At 37.3% G+C, this 10,861-nt stretch overlaps 1 protein-coding gene across 13 annotated transcripts in view; it reads left to right on the top strand.

Annotated features, from left to right (window-relative positions):
- STARD3NL (STARD3 N-terminal like) overlaps positions 1–10,861 on the top strand; it is a 52,425-nt gene extending 41,564 nt beyond the window's left edge. For all 13 annotated transcript variants that reach the window (NM_001363340.2, NM_001363344.2, NM_001363346.2 and 10 more), the window contains 2 exons: positions 8,991–9,063; positions 10,115–10,861. In NM_001363340.2, the coding sequence (NP_001350269.1) occupies positions 8,991–9,046 (56 nt within the window). In that variant the 3' untranslated portion in view covers positions 9,047–9,063; positions 10,115–10,861. The remainder of the gene's footprint in view (positions 1–8,990; positions 9,064–10,114) is intronic.

The raw sequence follows: 10,861 nt of genomic DNA on the forward strand, positions 1-10,861 counted from the left end.
CTCACATGAAACCAGTGGTAAGACACAGAGTTGTAAAAATAAATGTCATGGAGGAGTGATTAGACACCATGATTTGTGATATGTATCTTAGAAGACACACAGACAAGGGGAAGCGTCTCAGTGCTCTCATTATTGCGGTTCATCACCAAACCAACCTCCCTCTAGGACTCCCATATCTGAGAATGGCAGCACTGTCCAGCCAGTTGCCCAGCTCAAACACCAGAGCCTCACTGTTGGCTTCACCCCGTTCTTATGGCTCACATCTCATCATTCACAAAGCTGTTTCCATCCTCTCTCCCTTATTTCTACCTCCATTTTCTCATTCAAATCCTGCCACTTCTTATCAGCTCCAACCTCATTTCAGCATTACTTTCTGCAGTTTCTGCAAGAGCCTTTGTCTCCCTGCCTCCAGTTTTGTCTTTCACTAACCAGCAACCAGAGTGCTCTGTTAAAAATAACAATTACACTCAGCAACAAAAATAAACAACCTGATTAAAAAATATGCAAGGGTTTTGATAGACATTTCTCCAAAGAAGATAAACAAATGGCCAATAAGCACATAAAAGATGCTTAACATCACTAATCATTAGGAAAATGCAAATCAGAACCACAACAAGATACCGCTTCATACCGATTAGGATGACTGTTACAAAAAGCAAAACCAAACAAAAAGACAGAAAATAAGTATTGGTGAGAATATGGAGAAATTGGACCCCTTGTGCATTACGGGTGAGAATGTAAAATGGTATAGCCCCAGTAGAAAACAGTATGGTGTTTCCGTAAAAGATTAAACATAGAGTTACCATATGATTCAACACTTCTACCCCTGGGTATGTACCCAAAGGAAATGAAAGCAGAGACCACAGCAGATATGTGTATACCCATGCTCATAGCAGCATTATTCACAGTAGCTAAATGGTGGAAACAAATCAAACAGCTGTCAGCAGATGGGTGGATAAACGACATGTATGTACATCCAATGGAATATTATTCTCCATTAAAAAGGAATGGAAAGCTGGGCACAGTGGCTCATGCCTATAATCCCAGCACTTTGGGAGGCCAAGGTAGGAGGATCGCTTGAGCCCAGGAGCTCAAGACCAGCCTGGGCAACATAGGGAGACCTTGTCTCTATTAAAAAAGAAAAGAAAAGAAAAGAAAAGAAAAGAATAGAATTCTGACACATACTATAACATGTATGAACTGTGAACACATTATGCTAAGTGAAATAAGCCAGACACAAAAGGACTGTCGTATGATTTCACTTAGATGAGATACCTAGAGAAGTCAAATTTTCAGAATGGTGATGATGGCTGCACAACAGCATAGATGAACTGAATGCACTGGATGGCATGCTTAAAAATGGTTAAAGTGGTAAATTTTATGTTAAATATATTTTTCTATGGTAAAAAACCCACTATTTTTAAAATTGCTAACACTTTTTTAAGTGTCAGGTGCTGTTCTAAGCTTTATTAATATTCACTCATTTACTCCTCCCTTGTCTGCTTATCTTCTGAGATACAGATCACAAACCATAGTGTCTAATCACTCCTCCATTACATCCATTTTTTATAAGTCTGTGTCTTACCACTAATCTCTTGTAAGATTGTGTCTAACCTATTTTCATATTCTTAATGCCTGGCATATTAGATGTTTGCTAAGTGCCTCCACTCTGTGATGTAAAACTCGTATTATCCCTAATGTAGAGATGAGCAAATGTGGCACAGAGAAGTGAAGCAATTTACCCAATATCACACTAATAATAAGTGGTGTAGCTGGGATTTGAAGCTGGGGTCCAGTGCTAGAGTTCATGCTTATAACTGCTAAAGTATATTAGCCTCTTGGTGTTTATGAAAATATAGACTTGGTCATGCCAGTCCCCTGCTCAAAAGCCTTCAGTAGCATAAAGGATAAAGAAATCAGTAGATCTTAGCCTGGCTGGAAGTGCCCCTGTGGGCACTGTCACCAGTTGTCTAGCTTCTCACCTTGTGACTGCCTTCTGGTGTGCTGTTCATAGCTCTTCTGAAAATGTTGTGCTCTAGGGCCCTCCAGCCATTGTCCACCTTGCTGTTTCCATTCTGAGCATGATCTCCTCTGCAATCCTAGTGTTTGCTCACATGTTCCCATGTTCTTCCCAGCCATGCCTACCCTTCCCATCGCTCCCGGCAGTCTTAGAACATCCTTAGCATGTTCTTTGGAACCTCTTCCACAGCCCTGTCATCCTGTGTTGTCTGCACTGCCTTCAGCGCTGACCTGGTCTGTTTCTACTGCGGGTTGTAAACTTGAGTTAGAGACTACATCATTGTATTCCCTACATTAGGCCTAGTTAATATTTTCACACACACACACACACACACACACACACACACACACACACACAGAGTGGTAAAAGGGATTCCAGACAGAAAGAGCCATGAATGATTGAAGATTACAGCCATGTGAAATATCAGTGTACTGGAGGAACTCCAAGTAACTTGAGATTCTGGACTATTGGTGTTGGATCTGAAAGCAGCATACAACACAGAAACATAGAGCTAGATGAAATACAGATATGGATTTGTAGAAAATCTGTTTCTAAAACAGTAAAAACTAGAATTTAGTATTAAATTGTTTATTACCTCATAAGGATTATTTCATTGAGATGTTTTGTGTCATAGGACTTTACTCTTTGAAAAAAGGAAATTCATATTAGAGTTCATGCATCTCTACTTCTTTTTCTAAGACTAATACAGGTTCTCAGTACTAATGTATTTTCTTAACTAGAGTTCAGAACATAGAATAGTAGTGATACGAGGAACACGGTCTCAAGCATGCCTCATCAAACTTTCTAGTTCTGGGATCCATCTGCATTTCACCTTTATCATTTACCACCACCTAGTGGTACCTTGGAGCATTACCATTTCCTTGAGTCAGGAAGGTAAACAAAAACAAAACATTTTCATGGTGTTCCACTGTGTAGCTGCTTTGTTTGACAAAAGACAGGTTACTAATGGGCAGAGAAGGAGTGGTCAGAGTGGACTACCTTATTATATTTGCATTGTCTGAATGTTCAATTTAGGAAAGAATTAAAAATGAAAACTGTTACTGGAATTAATATGCCTAGAAAAAAAAGACTACTCTAGAGCAAAGCTTTTCCCTTATGCCAATAGCTAAAAATTGAAGCCTTTCAGTAGCTTGAGGTTCTAAGCTGCTGTTGCCCTGCTACAGCACTGACTTCCCTGGTACACATGAGGGCGTCCGAAAAAGGCCTGACGTGCCTTTTTTTGTCTTTTTTTCCTCCACCACCTAATACAGTACCTGGCTTATATTAGACTTACAACTGTTGAAGAAAGGGATGAAAAGAAAAGGGAAAGAAATAGGAGGCACCATAAACAAAAATGTTAGCATTTTTCCTTGTAAAGGAGCAGCCTGAATTTTAGTACCACAGGGATAGCACGGTTTATTAGATATACTTGTAAAGGATATAAAAATAGTTTGTTTGCAGGCTTGCTTGTTGATCAGACCGCATCCTGCATCCCTTTGTATTAAATGGAAAGAATTAGGAAGCATGATCCTCTCTCAGATGACTGGGTTGAAATTATGTGTGGTCAGAGAGCTTAAGTGAACCAGTTATGAAGCTGAAGAAAGGGTAATTTTTCACTTCCTAAACCATGGAAAGATTAACTTAAAATGAGGAATTGCTCAATTGCATAATATAGCCTGTCCTGTGCAAGTCTAGATAAGGCATTCATTACAATTCTAAGTTGCCACCTCCCCAGAGTAGCCATGCATCCTGGTTTGCCTGCAGCAGCCTTGCCTTCTTCTGGTTGCCCCATATAGTTATTATTAGAAGCCCTTGTATCTCTCAGCAGTGTTCTTGTTTAGATGATCATTTCTATGATCACCCTATGTGTCGTGAATAGATTCGAAACACAGCTTTTTCCTTTTAATCAAAATTTTGAAAATTATTGAAAAGTCATTGCCAGGGATACTGAATTATATTGACTTTTTAAAAAAGCTTGATTGAGGTGTAATTTGCATATAATAAAACTCATCCATTGTAAATGTATAATTGCATGATTTTTAGTAAATTTATAAATTTTTAATCAATATTACAGTGTAATTTTGGAAGTTTCATTACTTGAAAAACTTCTTTCATGCTCATTTGCAGTTAATCCCCACTTCTACCTCTAATCCTAAGTAACCACTGATCTTCTTTGTATCTTGACAAATTTACCTTTCCTGGGCATTTAATGTAAATGTAGTGATATGATACATGGCTTTTTGCATCCAGCCTCTTGCTTAGCATAAGGTTTGAGGACCAACCATGTTGTAGCATATATCAGTGTTTTGCTCCTTTTTGTGGCTGGGTATTATTCCATTATATGGATATACAACATATTGTCTGTATCCACAAGTTGATGGACATTTAGATTGTTTCCACCTTTTGGTTATTATAAGTATATCCAGCTATGAACATTCATGTACATGCCTCTGTGTGGATGTTTATTTTTGTAATTCTTGAACAGATTTCTAAGAGAGGATTTGCTGTGTCATGTGGCAAGTTTCTGTTTAACTTTTTTTAAAATTGTCAAACTGTTCTTGATCGTGGCTGTTTTATTTTACGTTCCCTCCAATAATGTACAGTAGTCCTTTCTTATCCACAGTTTCACTTACCTGAGGTCAATTGAGGTCTGAAAATATTAAATGGAAAATTCCAGAAATAAACAGTCCATAAGTTTTTAATTGTGTGCCGTTCTGAGTAGCATGATGAAATCCCACACTCTCCTGCTTCGTCCTGTCCAGAACGTGAATCATCCCTCTGTCCAGCAGATCCACACTGTATGCACTGCCCACCTGGTAGTCACTTAGGAGCCATCCAGGTTATCAGATTGACCATCCCAGTATCACAGTGCTTGTGTTCAAGTAATCCTTATTTCACTTAACAATGGCAAAGTAGTAATTCTGGCAATTCATATATGCCAAAGAGAAACCATAAAGTGCTTCCTTTAAGTGAAAAGGTGACAGTTCTCAACTTAATAAGAAAAGAAAAAAAAACATATGCTGAACTTTATCATGTTCGTCTTATGGCAAACTTTTTCATAGGTATGTATGTATAAGAAAAAACATAATACTGATAGGATACAGTACTATCTGTGGTTTCAGGTATCCAGGGATAAGGGAGATTACTGTGTATGCATTTCAGTTTCTCCATATATTCACCAATGCTTAGTATGGGGTCTTTTTGATCATATCCCGGCTAGCAGATTTAAAGTGGTATCTCATTGTGGTTTTAATTTGTATGTTTGTAGTGATACTGAGATATTTTTCATGTTTCTATTATATGTAATTCATAAGTCTTATTTAGAGAAAAATCTATCTCAAGTCTTTTGCCATATTTTTAATTGTGTTTTCTTTTTATTATTGAGTTGTAAGAATTCTTTACACATTCCAGATAAAAGTGTTTTCATATATGATTTACAAATATTTTTCCCAGTCTATTATTTGTCTTTTCATTTCTTCCTAGAGTCTTTTGAAGCACAAGTTTTAAATTTTGATTAAGTGTAGTTTATGAATTTGTTCTCTTATGGATAATATATTTGTGTTCATATCTAAGAACTCTTTAACTCTATGACATGAAGATTTTCTGCTACATTTTCTTCTAAAAGGTTTTTTAGTTTTACATGTTTCAATTAAGATTACAATACATTTTGAATTGATTTTCAAATATGGAGGAGGTAAGGGATTAATTCATTCTCTTGCTTTTGGATACTCAGTTGAACAGCACAAGTTCTTGAAAAGACAACCTTTCCCCATTGTACTGATTTGACACGTTTGCTAAAATCAGTTTACTATAAACTGATTTTGTGCCAAACCAATTTTTATTTTTTTAATTCTGCTTTCTTAAGGTGAATACTTATATGATTGATTTGATACTTTTTTTTTCTTTTCTTATATAGCCATTTAAAGCCATAAATTTTCCTCTAGGAATTGCTTTAGTGATATCACATGAATTTTGATATGTTGTGTTTTCATTTGAATGCATTCCTTGGCTTTCAGCAGGTTGACACGGATGTGTCTGCATGTGGATCTCTTTGTATATATCCTAATCTGTGTTTATTCTCCTTATAAAATGTGTGGATTAATATTTCTCAGCCAATTTGAGAAATTTGAACCATTAATTCTTCAAACATTTTTCTGACATTTTCCTCCTTCTGGGATTCCCATTACATGGTTGATTGATATGCTTGATGTCTCTGAGCACTTCAACTTTTCTTCAGTCTTTTTCTTTCACTCAGAGATAGTTTGTTTTGACTGTCATTTTTTCCTGGGAATGGTCACACTTTCTTGAATCTTTGCCTATCTTGTTTTTTTTTTTTTTTTTTTTTTGATGAAAAGTATTTTGCTGAAAATAAAGTAACTCTGGATTCTGATTTTTTTCCTGAAACATTGCTGTTCTTGCTCTTTGTTTAGTAAAGAGCTATATCTTTATATAGCTGTGCTAAATCTGTGAAATCTATACACCCTAGGATGTGTGGCTGCTTCTGTTTTCTCTCAGTTTTTTGTTTTATTGTCCATTAATTCTTGCCTATATTTTTAAGCCTAGCTTCCTAGGAGTTACCCATGTCTAGAGCCTACTGATTAGGCAGAGCCTAGCTAGTGATTACACAGAGGATTGCACTCAAATACCTGGATCAAGGCTTCCATCCTCTGCCAGGTAGAAATGTACATGGGTTGGATAGCACCTTCAGCGTTCAGGCCATTTTCAAGTCCTCCCCAGCTTTTACTTTCTGCTAAGTCCTTTCCTGCTCTCTCTGCGTATGCTTAGAGCTCAGGCTAATTGGCTGGCTTGGGCTCTCTTGGGTCTCCTCTGTGCATGGAGACAACACCAGCTGGGCATATGCTTGTCCCAGTGGTGACCACAACTCAGCCTCCCAGAGTAGTTGGCCCTTTCTGCTCACCTCCCTCTGAATTTGTCACTTCACTGTCAGTGTCACTGGGCATGAGCATGGCTCCCCACTCCAAACTAAGCGATCTCCCTTCAACTGAGTAGCTTTACTGCCAGTCCCCATGGCCTGCCTCACCCTAGCAGAACCTCCATGCCCATTGAGCTGGGTACTGGGAGGTTGGAGAAGAACAGGAGCAGCTCCAGGCAAGACACAACTGCTATTCCCTGAATTCTGCAGTGTTTCAAACATAAACATTTCTCCAGTTGTTGTGTGCTTTTGGTCATTTCTCCAGTGGTGAGATGGCTAGTTTTGCCCATTTTGCCACATTTTGGGGGTGCCTTTCAGGGAGAGGATTTATTGACTTCTTCACTTGGCCGTAGCAAGAAGTCTCTTTTAAAATATGTAAAGAAGACATATTGTTATATTTTAATTAAGGGTTTAGCTTTATTTAGGACTCCCAAATAATTCCAAGACATGGCAACTCACTGTGGTTTCAGTGCCACTGGCCTAGCAGATTGAAGTGAGCTTGGGAACAGGAAGATCTGATGTGACCATCTTCCTCATCCTCCTTCCACAGTAAGGACAGGCAGTTCCCCACCTCCTGTCTCTATGATGGACAGTGTGTTAATAGGGTAGAAAGTAAAGTCTTCAACAGTTAAGTCTTTACCTATTCATTTTACTACAAATTCAACCTAACCGTGTGACATTTATGAGGTTAAAACGTTTTCTTCAGATTATCAGGCATTCTTTCCCTATAACAAATTTGTTCTTGGCTATAATTCAGGTAGACATTCTCCTTAGGGAAAAAAAAATGTCCTTTTTAAAGTATCTTATCTAACAAGGTTCAGGCGTAGTTGAGAGAGGCTGCAGCTTTTACGTGTGAATTGATGGCATCTCTCACCCCCTACTTTGGTCTTCTCTCAGGGCCTCCTCTGCTTTTTTTTTAATTCCTCTTCCCTGATTATGAAAGCCATGCATTTAAAAAAGTGGAAAGAACAAAAATTAGAAATCACGTATCCTTCAAATTATTTGGTAACATCAGTATTGACAGTTTAGTTTCCTTCTTGGGGTGTGTGTATGTGTGTGTGTCTGTGTGTTTAATCTCACATCATTGTGCCCATGCTGCCTATATTATTCATATTCTGCTTTTTAAAAATATAATTTAAAAATTATTAATAAAGTCAATTCAAGTTTATTGTAGAAATGTTAAAATATCCAGAAAAATATATAAAAGTTACGTGGTTATTTTCTTCTACTCTTTCTCGTTTGCACACATATATTTGGTTTTTAATTTTATCAAATGTGATCTCATGGCATTTAAAGTTTTATTTGCTATACATTTGCTTTTACCTTACAGCGCATGCATTTTTCATGTTATAAATTCTATATAACCATAATTTTAAGTGGATACAAGATATGTTATGGAACTACAGTATTAACCTTTCTTCTATTCTCAGACACTTAGCTTTCTTTTCTAATTTTTAGAGAGAAAATCTACATAATGAATAATAAGCATTATTTCCTCAGGGATAGGTCTATCCTAAGGAAAGAATTCCAGAGCGGAATGACCAGGTCAAATCTAGGAATATCCTGAAGCTCATGAGACATTGATCCAGAAGGGCCAGACTGTGGTCACTGCCACAGTGCTCTCTCACTGCTCTCTCGCTCGTCTGCCACAGCCATTGTTAGAAACACCTAGATTCAATTATTTGTACCAAGCTCAACATTTTTGCATGTAAAAAAATATATGCAAGCTTGTCAGCAAAGAGGCAGAGGAAGAATAGTGATTGATAATAGTTATTGGTCTGCATGAATATTCTTAGTACATAAGTGAAATCCATTTTGACAGATTAGTGTAAGTGATAGATTATTGTTTAAAGGTTTTCCTGTTACAAGAAATAAATAAAGCTTTCAAATAGCAGTTAACCTAAATCTCTTGAGGATTAAACATATGTTTAATGTTTTTATGTGTATATGTTATAATTTTAAACCTATTTATTTAAAATAGTTTGTTACTGTAATGGAATGAAATACTTTTTCTTTGTCCCCTTCTCCACCACGTAGGATCTGAAGAAGCTGAAGAAAAACAGGACAGTGAGAAACCACTTTTAGAACTATGAGTACTACTTTTGTTAAAGTAAGTGTTTGAAATGAAACCATAACAACAAAGTAGTTAAGTATGGAGATTTCCTTTGAGTAGAGTCAAAGTAGAATTCAAAGAATAAGAGTGTAAGGATAGCCAGAGTTATCTTACTTGCATGAATTTATCAGTCACATTTTATTAATGCCAAGTGTCTTAACATTTTTTATACAGGTATACATTTATAAGGTTTTGAAAATACCTCAGATTTCTAAATTTCTAAAGAATAGAGATGAATTTATGTTAATTTACTTAGCCAGAATGTCTACATGCCAGTCACATGTCATTGTTTTAATGACAGGTACTAATCTATGTTAAGAGGACAGCAGTCCTGTGAGATGCAGGTGCTGTTATCACCTCCATTTTACATTTGAAGCAGCAGAGACATAGAATGGGTCACTTATCCAAGGTTGCACAGCTAGACGAGGCAGCGCTGGGGCTCAGGCCCACACTTTCTGGTACCAGGTCCACTGCAGCCCCTCACTGGGACATTTCTCAAGGATTTTGGAGCCTCTGAGATGAAAGCTGCTGTACATCCAAAGCAGTCATGCTTAATGGGCTCCAAAGTGGAACACATTGTTAAATCCCTTTAAGTCATCAAAGAAAATCATTTTAACCTCATAAATAGAAGGCAATTGAAGTAAATTGTAGTAGCAGCAAATCTGCCTGACAGTTTAACCACAGAAGGAAAAAGCTGCCAGATTGTGAGTCATTGGGAAGCTGGGATAGAAGCTGACTGGGTGGGAGAGGTAGCCAAGGTCACGGCGCATGGAGCCCCAGTGCCTGCCTCCTCAGCCCCCAGCACACCTCAGCCGCATCTCTCCACCACAGTCATGTAGACGCGAAGCAAAAATGTGGGCATGCTCGTAGTTGAGCCTTTTCTAAAATGTTTTAACATGAATTCTAATGTGACCACACGCATGGTCCTTCGTGTGTCTGTCACAGCCCCTCTTCAGCACACAGACTTTTATGTACATGTAAGGTGACCGTGGCATTTTGCCTTTTAATGCTATTTATTAAATACTTTTGTCTTCTCTCTTTTTCTAAGTGTGAAAAACCCTCACAGAAAGTCATCGAGGCAAAAAGAGGCAGGCAGTGGAGTCTCCCTGTCGACAGTAAAGTTGAAATGGTGACGTCCACTGCTGGCTTTATTGAACAGCTAATAAAGATTTATTTATTGTAATACCTCACAGACGTTGTACCATATCCATGCACATTTAGTTGCCTGCCTGTGGCTGGTAAGGTAATGTCATGATTCATCCTCTCTTCAGTGAGACTGAGCCTGATGTGTTAACAAATAGGTGAAGAAAGTCTTGTGCTGTATTCCTAATCAAAAGACTTAATATATTGAAGTAACACTTTTTTAGTAAGCAAGATACCTTTTTATTTCAATTCACAGAATGGAATTTTTTTGTTTCATGTCTCAGATTTATTTTGTATTTCTTTTTTAACACTCTACATTTCCCTTGTTTTTTAACTCATGCACATGTGCTCTTTGTACAGTTTTAAAAAGTGTAATAAAATCTGACATGTCAATGTGGCTAGTTTTATTTTTCTTGTTTTGCATTATGTGTATGGCCTGAAGTGTTGGACTTGCAAAAGGGGAAGAAAGGAATTGCGAATACATGTAAAATGTCACCAGACATTTGTATTATTTTTATCATGAAATCATGTTTTTCTCTGATTGTTCTGAAATGTTCTAAATACTCTTATTTTGAATGCACAAAATGACTTAAACCATTCATATCATGTTTCCTTTGCGTTCAGCCAATTTCAATTAAAATGAACTAAATTA

Source organism: Homo sapiens, chromosome 7 (genome assembly GCF_000001405.40).
Source record: "Homo sapiens chromosome 7, GRCh38.p14 Primary Assembly".
NCBI lineage: Eukaryota > Metazoa > Chordata > Mammalia > Primates > Hominidae > Homo > Homo sapiens.